The sequence below is a fragment of the Homo sapiens genome, chromosome 4 (genome assembly GCF_000001405.40).
Source record: "Homo sapiens chromosome 4, GRCh38.p14 Primary Assembly".
Lineage (NCBI taxonomy): Eukaryota > Metazoa > Chordata > Mammalia > Primates > Hominidae > Homo > Homo sapiens.
Genome location: NC_000004.12, coordinates 25,578,791 through 25,590,290, shown reverse-complemented (window position 1 = coordinate 25,590,290; position 11,500 = coordinate 25,578,791). Strand labels below are relative to the sequence as shown.

The following is an 11,500-nucleotide window of genomic DNA, read 5'->3' as shown; positions in this document are numbered from 1 at the left end:
TTCGCATTTCTATCATTACTGAAGTGCTTTCATTTGATTAAGCCAGAGTGGATCAGCCTTATGTTCCCTGCCTGCAGGCCCTATTCTCCTGCCACAATACTAGATATGGGTCTTCAGAAAAGAGGCCGCTTTGAGAGCCTCGGTCTCCACTTTGTCAAATAAAACCATGAATGTGGTGCTATGATGCCTGGCCAGTCCGCTTTGCAGAGCAGGATGAGGTTTAGGGTTAGGGAAAATGCAATTAGGCCACTTCAAATGTCTGGCAAGCTCTGAATCACTGTAGAAATATCCATTATTAGCATGCTGACCTTCTAGTGGGCCCACGGACAGATCTCAGACTTAGGGTTTAAGAGGAGCTAAATCTAAATCTGAATCCATATGTTAACATGATTCCATGTAAGATGCAGGCACATTGTTTGAGAAGTTAGGATGCAAATTTGGACTCAGTGGGTCTTGAGTGGGGCTGAGAATCTGCACTTCTAAAGAGTTTTTAGATGATGCCAATGCATGGGCCACACCTTGAATCAACAGGGTTTAGAATGGCGATTCTCAGCCCCAGCTGTCCCCTAGGGTCACATAAGAGGCCACATCTAACCCCATTCCAGGTCGATTGAATCAGAATCCGAGGTGTTCCTGAGCACAAGCATTTGCACAAATCTCCCTGTGCCAGGCGTGGTGGCTCATGCCTGTAACTCCAGCACTTTGGGAGGCTGAGGCATGAGGATTGCTTGAGCTCAGGAGGTCAAGACTGCAGTGAGCTGTGATCACACCACTGAACTCCAGAGCCTGGGTGACAGAATCAGACCTTGTCTCAAAAAAATAAAAAATAAAACCAAAAATCTTCCCAAGTTCAGCTACAACATGGATAATGGAGGAACGCCCTCTTCCAGATTCCTGGAAAACTGGGCTCAAAATCTTGAAGGCAAATTCAGCTCCTCTCTTATGCACGCTCCCTGGGTCTAACTGCTGTGGGGTCCCATCGATTGTCACACCACCATCTTCCTTCCATGGCTGGTGTACCATGGATACACTATCTTCCTTCCATGGCTGCTGCCCAGTCCTAAAATCGATCCCATCTGGGTGGCATCAGGCCTATAGCAGGATTTGGACAATGGCCTCGGCCTCTTGTGCTGGGAAGTGCTCCACAGTTGCCCCCCACCCCTGTCATTAGCCAGGAACTGTGCAAATCTTGCAGGCAGCATCCACTCACAGCAGCTCTTGCTATTATTACTATTACAAGGAATAGTTGGCCGGGCGTGATGGATCACGCCTGTAATCCCAGCACTTTGGGAGGCTGAGGCGGGTGGATCACGAGGTCAGGAGATCAAGACCAGCCTGACCAACATGGTGAAACCCCGTCTCTACTAAAAATAAAAAAAATAGCTGGGCATGGTGGCATGTGCCTGTAATCCCAGCTACTCAGGAGGCTGAGGCAGGAGAATCACTTGAACCCAGGAGGTGGAGGTTGGGGTGAGCCAAGATCACGCTATTGCACTCCAGCCTGGGCAAGAAGAGCAAAACTCTGTCAAAACAAACAAACAAACAAAACTACAAGGAATAGTCTACAGGCTGCTTCTCCCTTCCTAAGGCCCTTCCCAGCTGCCTAACCGTCCAGTTGCAATGCACACGCTCGCCCCCCAAGCTAGCCAGGCTGAGGAATGGGCTATGTCCGCATTTCTAATGTCCTGATCCTGAGCCTCCTTCCTGCGCCTCCTCCTTCCAGAACTGCAACAAGGCAAAACCAGGGGGAGTCCTGCTCTGTGACTTCTAATTAGTGTGTGGAAAGAGTCCTTTGTGATCCACAGATGAAAGGCCACTCTCAGCATCATTACCGTGATGAGTTTCCCCATCTGTAAAATGGACTTTAATGAGGCCGCTTGTTTACGGAGCTCCTGAGATGAAAAGGGTGTGATGGACAGGATGCTGATGAGTCTTGGCTTGGGGGTCAGCCTGAGGTTCCATGAGGGGAAGTCTCCTTCCTTCGCTCACTCTGGTCCCAACGGGCCAGAAAAGAGCATTGGCCAGCTCTATGGGGACAGAGCGAGGGTGAGAATGGACAGAAGGGAGGGGGTAGGGATAAGAAAAGGAGGTGATTGGTGGCCCACAAAGCTACATCTGAAAGAGAGGGAAGCCCAAGGGGGAAAGCAGAGGATTAGGCAGGTGTGTGTGTGTGTGTGTGTGTGTGTGTGTGTTTCTGTGTGTGTGTGTGTCTGCTTGTGTGTCTCTGTGTGTGTCTGTGTGTGTATCTGTGTGTGTGCCTCTGTGTGTTTCTGCATGTGTGTCTGTGTGTGTGTCTGTGTCTCTGTGTGTGTTTCTGTGTGTATGTCTCTGTGTATGTCTGTGTGTGTATGTCTGTGTGTCTCTGTGTGTGTTTCTGTGTGTGTGTCTCTGTGCATGTCTGTGTATGTGTCTCTGTGTGTGTGTCCCTATGTGTGTGTCTCTGTGTGTGTGTCTGTATGTGTGTGTGTGTGTGCCTGTGTGCATTCAACACCAAGGTGGACAAATAAGGTCCCAGTCTTGAGGTCAGGAAGAAACCATGTGTTTCTACCCCAAATTCCAAGAATTCATTAAGCCGAAGCTGAAATTAGTTATGGCTCAGATGATGTGACTGTTCCACTTTTCAGCCAGCACCCTGTGGAGCCCCTCCAGGTTTCAGATGCTGGACTAGGGAAGAGGAGGGGGAGGGATGAGGCTGGGGCACACAGCACCCCTCCCCCTTCAACCTAAACGCCACCTGTGGACCTGTTTTCACCTTAGACTTCCTTACAAGATTTCATTGGAAGAGAAGATTTCAGTGGCTTACAAATGCTTGCAAAACACAGTCTGGGGGCAGGAAAAAAATAAAGGAAATGAAAAGGGCTCTCCCCAGTGTCAGAATAGCATACTGGTAAGGAACACAATCCTTAGGAACAGATGGCCTGGCTCTTAGCTTTGTGATCTTGGGCAAGCTGCCTCACATCTCTGTGCTGGTTCCTGAACAGTAAAGTGTGGATAAAAATAGTAGCTCCTGGCCAGGCGCAGTGGCTCACGCCTGTAATCCCAGCACTTTGGGAGGCCAAGATGGGCAGATCACAAGGTCAGGAGTTTGAGACCAGCCTGGCCAATACGGTGAAACTCCGTCCCTACTAAAAAATACAAAAAACCAGCTGGGCGTGGTGGCAAGTGCCTGTAGTCCCAGCTACTCAGGAGGCTGAGGCAGGAGAATTGCTAGAACCCGGGAGGTGGAGGTTGCAGTGAGCCAAGATTGTGCCACTGCACTCCAGCCTGGGCAACAGAGTGAGACTCCATCTCAAAAAAAAATAGTAGCTGTGTTTTGGGGTTGCTGTGGTTGCTGTGAGAATTGCATGAGTTCATCCGTGTAAAGTGCAGGGTGCTGTGCCTGAAGCACCCATCATTGTTACCGGGAACCTCTATCTCCCCCTGTCAAATGTGTCGGGTACAGTGCCTGACACTTGCTTCCACAGATGCTTCTTTTTGTTTTATTTATTTATTTATTTTTTGAGATGGAGTCTCGCTCTGTCGCCCAGGCTGGAGTGCAGCGGCACCATCTCGGCTCACTGCAAGCTCCGCCTCCCAGGTTCACTCCATTCTCCTGCCTCAGCCTCCAGAGTAGCTGGGACTGCAGGCGCCCGGCTAATTTTTTTCGTAGAGACGTATTTAGTAGAGAGTATTTTTTTAGTAGAGACGGGGTTTCACCGTGTTAGCCAGGATGGTCTCGATCTCCTGACCTCGTGATCCGCCCGCCTCAGCCTCCCAAAGTGCTGGGATTACAGGCATGAGCCACTGAGCCCGGCCTCTTTTTATTAAAAAAAAAAATTTTTTTTATAGAGACTGGATCTCACTATGTTTCCCAGGCTGGCCTCTAACTCCTGGGCTCAAGCGATTCTCCTACCTTGGCCTCCCAAAGTGTGGGGATTGCAGGTGTGAGCCACCATGCCCAACCCACAGACACTTCTTTGTGGAATCCTCTACAAATATATGCTGACCCATTGCACAGATAAGGACATCAAGGCTTGGGGAGGGAAATGGAAGAATCACAGCTGGAGCCCCAGCTTAGGTCTGCAAGCCAGGGCTTCCTGCTGCTACTCTCAGGACTAGAAGGGACGGGCTGTTTCTCAGGCAGCTGCTGTCCCAGTACCGAGGTCGGCCCTTCACACTCTGGCCTTCTCCCCCTTGCTCTGTCCATCTGGGCAAGCAACCAGCTCACGATATGAGCTCATCAACCCCCAAACAACAGGAGCAGGAGGTCCCCGCAGTGACCAACAAAGGCTGTGACTGACCCATTGTTTAGGGGCCCTGGTAGGCACGGACGGGATTAAAGTTTCTTTAAGCTGTGCCCATTCACTCTAGGTTAGTGTTTCTCCAAAGGTAATCTGTGGATCTTCCATTTCAGAACCTTCAGGGGCTCTCATTAAAACATAGATTTCAACCCTACACAGTGGCTCACACCTGCAATCCCACTTTGGGGGCTGAGGCAAGCAGATCACTTGAGGCCAGGAGTTTGAGACCAGCTCAGCCAACATGGCCAAACCCTGTCTCTACTAAAAATACAAAAATTAGCCAGGTGTGGTGGCACACGCCTGTAATTCCAGCTACTTGGCAGGCTGAGGCACAAGAATCACTTGAACTCTGGAGGTAGAGGTTGCAGGGAGCCGAGATCGCATGCCACTGCATTCCAGCCTGGGCAACAGAGTGAGACTCTGTCTCAAAAAATTAAATAAATAAATAAATAAATAAATAAATAAATAAATAAATAAAATACAGATTTCTTGGCCTCAAAAGGATTAAATTCCAACCTCTAGAGAAGAGGCCCATCTCATGGTAAATTGCTTTTGGGAAAAAAAAAAAGAAAGAAAAGGAAAGAGGCTGGGCATGGTGGCTCATGTCTGTAATCCCAGCACTTTGGGAGACCGAGATGGGTGGATCACGAGGTCAAGAGATTGAGACCATCCTGGCCAACATGGTGAAACCCCATCTCTACTAAAAATACAAAAATTAGCTGGGCATGGTGGTGCGTGCCTGTAGTCCCAGCTACTTGGGAGGCTGAGGCAGGAGAATCACTTGAACCCGGGAGGTGGAGGTTGCAGTGAGCCAAGATTGCACCACTGCACTCCAGCCTGGCAACAGAGTGAGACTCCGTCTCAAAAAAATAAGGAAAAAGAAAAAGAAGAAGCTGAGTGCGGTGGCTCCCGCCTGTAATCCCAGCTCTTTGGGAGGCCGAGGTGGGTGGATCACCTGAGGTCAGAAATTTGAGACCAACTTGGCCAACATGGTGAAACCCCATCTCTACTAATAATACAAAAATGAGCTGGGCATGGTGGCAGGCGCCTGTAATCCCAGCTACTCAGGAGGCTGAGGCAGGAGAATTGCTTGAACCCAGGAGGCGGAGGTTGCAGTGAGCTAAGATCACACCACTGCACTCCAGCCTAGGCAACAGAGTGAGACTCTATCTCAAAAAAAAAAAAAAAGGAAAAGTAAAAATAGAGAAGAAGCCCTACTGTCTAAATGTAGCAAGCACCCAGGAGATTCTGGTCTTCCCAGGGTAGAGATCCCTGGGTTCATGTCCTGTGTGGGGTGTGTGAGGGATGGGCTTGTTCATCTGACCTTCTCCTTGCCTCTAGGCCCAGGGTTGAGCCCCCCCCTCCTAGAACCCTGGCTCCAGAGTAGTGAGGCCTTTTCTGGCTGAGGCCCAAACCCACCTCACATAGCAAAATCCTGCCTGGCACTAGTGGATACTCAAGCCCCAGGAAGCTGTACTGAACCGAGCTGCATTTGTCTATCCCGGGTGTGGGTCTTGCCTCCACATCTCCTGTGTGTAATTTTGCCTCTTTCTTCTATTCCCTTCTGCCATGACCTCTTCTCCAACCCTTCCTGCCCTTAGTTGCCCTTTTCCCATCTGAAAAATGCAGGGGCTGCTCTTGTACTTCTCCTAGATCCTTTCTTACAAAATATTTAAGGAGCTAAGTAACCAGTAACTGCTGTCCCTTTTGGAGATGCAGCAACCTCTCCCTGCCACACACACAGTTTCAAAGTGATTTATGGAGGGGGATGCGGGTGGCTACTGGAAGGAGTTGTGTGCACCAAGGAGGGTTTCTATGTCTGAGCAAGAACAGCCAGAAATTGCCTTGCCATGGACTAGACTGTGGCTCTCTTCCCTAGCAGAGGGTGCCATGACCTGGCCAAAAAAGGAATGCTAAGGTGGGCCAGTTGAGAAGATAACTCCCAAGAAAGTGAGAAGAGTGTAAGATCTAAGAGGAGGGCCTAGTGGTGTGCTCCTGTAGCCTAGTTACTCAGGATCTGAGGCGGGAGGATCACTTGAGCCCAAGAGTTCGAGTCCAGCCAGGGCAACATAGCAAGATCCCATCTTAAAAAAAAAAAGATCTGAGAGGAATTTGTTGAGAGATGTTTTATAAAAAGAAAACATGCAGAAGTGAGCTTCATCTGTTAATTTGTTGTAAATGTTCTGATGTAAAATGAAGGTGGAATGGGATCTAATGATACAAGTCCAACTTAGTGCAGGTATAAGCCTGTATTGAGGTATAAGCCTGTGAGATCTCATTCCTCAAGAATTGCCCCCTTAATACAGGTATAAAGGATTATACCTCTCCCAGAACCCTGGCTCCAGAGTAGTGAGACCTTTTCTGGCTGGGGCCCAAACCTACCTCATGTCACAAAACTCAGCCTGGCAAGAGTGGATTATACCTGTATTAAGGGCGTGGGGTTTTTTTGTTTTTTTGTTTTTCAAGATAGAGTCCAGCTCTGTCACCCAGGCTGGAGTGCAGTGGCGCAATCTCGGCTCACTGCAACACCTGCCTCCCGGGTTCAAGCAATTCTCCTGCCTCAGCCTCCCAAGGAGCTGGGATTACAGGGGTGCACCACCATGCCCAGCTAATTTTTTTTTTTTTTTTTTTTGAGACGGAGTCTCGCTCTGTTGCCCAGGCTGGAGTGCAGTGGCTCGATCTCAGCTCACTCATGCTCCACCTCCCGGGCTCACGCCATTCTCCTGCCTCAGCCTCCAGAGTAGCTGGGACTACAGGCGCCTGCCACCACGCCCAGAGAATTTTTTGTATTTTTAGCGGAGACGGGGTTTCACCGTGTTAGCCAGGATGGTCTCGATCTTCTGACCTCATGATCCACCTGCCTCGGCCTCCCAAAGTGCTGGGATTACAAGCGTGAGCCACCGTGCCCGGCCTGCTAATTTTTGTATTTTTAGTAGAGATGGGGTTTTGCCATGTTGGCCAGGCTGGTCTCGAACTCCTGACCTCAGGTGATAAGGGGTGCCTTTTGAGGAATGAGCAGGAAGCAGTGGAATGGAGTGAGGGCCTGGGCTTTGCTGTTGGATTCACCTGGGGATCAGTATAGGCCCATCACAAGCTGTGTGGCCTTAGGAAAGTTACTTCATCTCTCTGAGCCTCCATGACCCTATTAATAAAATGGTGACAATCACAACACCACATGGGTTTGTGGTGAAGACCTAATGAAGTCATAATGTAGTATGCTTGGCACAGTTGAGTAATGTAGTATGCTTGGCATAGTTGAGTGTTCCATAGTCCATGATTCCCTGTCCTTCTGGACAGCTGAAAACTGATGGTACAAGGGGGTACAGGACTTCTAGGCAAAGTCATTGACAAAAGACAAATGCAGGTTCCAGTCTTCAGGTATGAAGAAGGAAAAGAAGACGGGTGATTATGAACAATGATGAGGCACTAAACACCTTATTAAAATACATAATAATAAACAGCTCCAGCCTGGGCCTAGACATTTTTCCAACCAGCAGCAGCTTTGAGTCTGTTCAAATGTTCAAATTCATCCTCATTAGCGGCCTGTTTAGGAAGCTAACTTTCTCTCTACCTGCTAATCTTTTTAAATCTTTTTCTTTTTTCTTCTTTTTTTTGGTTTTGAGATGGAGTCTTGCTCTGTTGCCCAGGCTGGAGTGCAGTGGCACAATCTTGGCTCACTGCAACCTCTGCCTCCTGGGTTCAAGTGATTCTCCTGCCTCAGCCTCCTGAGTAGCTGTGATTACAGGTGCGTGCCACCACGCCTAATTTTTGTATTTTTAATAGAGTCGGGGTTTCACCATGTTGGTCAGGCTAGTCTCAAACTCTTGACCTTGTGATCCACCTGTCTCAGCCTTCCAAAGTGCTGGGATTACAGGCGTTGAGCCACTGTGCCTGGCCTTTTTTTTTTTTTTTAATAGTGATGGGAGTCTCTCTGTGTTGACAAGGCTGGTCTCGAACTCCTGGCCTCAAGTGATCCTCCCATCTTGGCCTCCCAAAGTGCTGTGATAACAGGCATGAGCAACCATGCCCAGTCCCTTTTTTTTTTTTTTTTGAGACAGGGTCTTGCTCTGTTGCCCAGGTTGGAGTGTAGTGGCAAGATCACCACAGCCTCAAACTCCCACACTCAAGTGTTCCTCCCACAGTAGCCTCCTAAGGAGCCAGGACTACAGGTGCATACCACCATGCCCTGCTAATTTTTGTTTTTTGTAGAGACAGAGTCTCACTATGTTGCTCAACCTGTTTTCAAACTGCTGGGCTCAAAGAATCCTCCTGCCCTGGCCTCCCAAAGTGTTGGGATTACAGTAGTAAGCCACTGCACCTAGCCTCTACTTGCTAATTTTCTGCAGGAAAGTTCAATAATTTCACCAACGATAATATCAACCACATAGACAGCAATGATGATGGTGCCAGGACCTGGGCTGTGTGATGGATGACCACGGTTTCACTGAATCCTCTCGACCTTCTGAAGTGGTGGTGTGACTCCCAATCTCCATCTTCAGATGCCAGTGCTTGGAGGTCACCTTGCCTAAAGTCACGCAGCAGCAACGTGGCACCACCAGGACTCGGATCCAGGCCTAATGGGGGTGGGGAGGGCTGGAGAGCACTCTCTCATGCAAACATGCCAATTTCAGAGAAATCGTCAGCAGGACAAACGTGCAGGGAAAGGGGGAGCAGGAGAGGAAGAAAGAGTCTGGAAAACTCTAAGGACTGCGTAATAAACATCCGCCTCTGAATCATCCACTCTGTCTCTGAAATTAAGAAAGGAACAACCAGCAACCAGAAAGCGGATGAGGAAGCTTTGGATTGGGGTTTGGATGGTGGTTTAATCTCTCACTGACATCCTGCTTTTTCACATGATCCTTGTGATCTCCAAACACTTTGCAATCGGATTAAAAGCAAAACCAAACCTTGCAGGCTGGGAGAAGGTGGAGCTGGCAAGGTCAGAGGATTAAACCCGAACGCCCAGAGCAAAGTTTGACCGTGAGAGCCTGTTTGTGCAGGGTGGCTGGTGTGTGCCCGCCTGGCGGCGGCGCAAGGGCTGAAAGGGCAACGCGCCTTCGCAGACAGCATCCTCAGGTGTTAGACCCGCTGCCACAGGCCCCCAGAGTGGGAAGACGTGAGGGACAGACAGGCTGATATCAAACCTGACCACCAGGGGTGACAGCATTGACCCTGCAGTGAGCAGAAGACTCAAGTTGTCTGGAAGGAAGGGGAAGGAGTTTCTCGGGATGAAGGTGCAGGGATTAAAGAAGCCCGACTGAGCTTTCTGCAGAGGGACTCACTGCAGGGATCAGCAGTGGAGTTGGGAGGCCAGGACAGAGCCTCTCCTGATGGCTGTAGCCCAGCCGCTTGGTGCCTACACAGGCAGTCCCTCTCACCTCTCAGGTATCATAATGCCTCTTCCTCTCAGGCCACACTAAATAGGATTTATCTGCAGGGTGTCATGGCCCATGCCCTATAATCCCAATACTTTGGGTGGCCTAGGTGGGAGGATCTCTTAGCCCAGGAGTTTGAGACCAGCCCAGGCAATACGGTGAGACCTCATCTCTATGAAAAAAATACAATAAAATGTTAGCTGGGCGTGGTGGTGCAAGGCTGAGGTGGGAGGCTCACTTGAGCCCAGGAGGTTGAGGCTGCAATGAGCCATGTTTATGCCACTACACTCTAGTCTGGGCAACACAGCAAGATCCTGTTTCAAAAATAAAATAAAGAGGCTTTTTCTTTTTTTTTCTTTGAGATAGAGTCTCGCTCTGTTGCCAGGCTAGAGTACAATGGCGCCATCTCGGCTCACTGCAACCTCCGCCTCCCGCCTCCCGGGTTCAAGCAATTCTCCTGCCTCAGCCTCCCCAGTAGCTGGGACTACAGACGTGCGCCACCATGCCCAGCCTTTTTTTTTTCTTTTTTCTTTTTTTTTTTTTTTTGTATTTTTAGTAGAGACGGGGTTTCACCATATTGGCCAGGATGGTCTCGATCTCTTGACCTCATGATCCGCCCATCTTGGCTCTCAAAGTGCCGAGATTACAGCTGTGAGCCACCGCACCTGGCCTTTAAAGAGGCTTTTTCTACTATCATGTAGAAACTGGGAGGAAAAAAATGCTGCAAGACAAGATCTCCTGCAGTTCTGGAAGCCAGAGTAGGAAGGAAGAAAGAAAAGAAAGAAGGAAGGAGGAAGGCCTTAAATTTAGAAAGAAAATCAATTAACAATTGTTTTCTACAAAGAAATGGTTCAGGCCGGGCATGGTGGCTCACGCCTATAATCCCAGCACTTTGGGAGGCCAAGGTGGGCGAATCACGAGGTCACGAGTTAGAGACCAGCCTGGCCAATATGGTGAAACCCCGTCTCTACTAAAAATACAAAAAATTAACTGGGCATGGTGGCAGGCACCTGTAATCCCAGTTACTGAGGAGGCTGAGGCAGGAGAATGGCTTGAACCTGTGAGGCAGAGGTTGCAGTGAACTGGGATCGCGCTGCTGCACTCCCAGGCCACAGTGCAAGACTCTGCCTCAAAAAAAAAAAAAAAAGTTCGAATTTACCACAGTTTTTTTAAACTAGAAACTGCAATGGCCCTCCATATCTGTAGGTTCATCCTCAGATTCAACCAACAACATCTGGAAAATATTTGGGAGAAAAAAATATATAACAATTTAAAATAATACAAATTAAATATGCAGTATAACAACTATTTACATTAGGCTGGGTGCAGTGGCTCACACCTATAATCCCAGCACTTTGGGAGGCCAAGGCGGGTGGATCGCTTGAGGTCAGGAGTTGGAGATCAGCCTGGGTAACAGGAAGAAACCCCGTCTCCACTAAAATTACAAAAAATTAGCCAGGCGTGGTGGCACGTGCCTATAGTCCAGCTACTCAGGAGGCTGAGGGCTGAGGCATGAGAATTGCTTGAACCCTGGGGGGTGGAGGTTGCAGTGCCATTGCACTCCAGCCTGGGTGATAGAACAATACTTGGTCTCAAAAAAAAAAAAAACTACTTACATTGTATTAGGTATTATAGGTAATCTAGTGATGATTTAAAGTATATCAGAGTAGCTGGGCATGGTAGCTCATGCCTATAATCTCAGCATCTCAGGAAGCAGGAGGATGGCTTGGACCTAGGAGTTCAAAGCTGTGGTGAGCTGTAATCGTGCCACTGCACTCACTCAGCCTGGGCGACAGAACAGACCCTATCTCTAAAAGAAAGAAAGTATACAGGAGAAAGTGCATG

At 49.0% G+C, this 11,500-nt stretch overlaps 1 annotated feature.

The window, feature by feature from the left end:
• Nucleotides 3,984-4,484: an enhancer, noted in NCBI's record as "NANOG-H3K27ac hESC enhancer chr4:25587429-25587929 (GRCh37/hg19 assembly coordinates)". NCBI's record gives its function as "activates a minimal SCP1, AML or CMV promoter by ChIP-STARR-seq in naive and primed H9 embryonic stem cells {active_cell/tissue: H9 hESC(naive and primed)}" and the evidence as "EXISTENCE:reporter gene assay evidence [ECO:0000049][PMID:30033119]".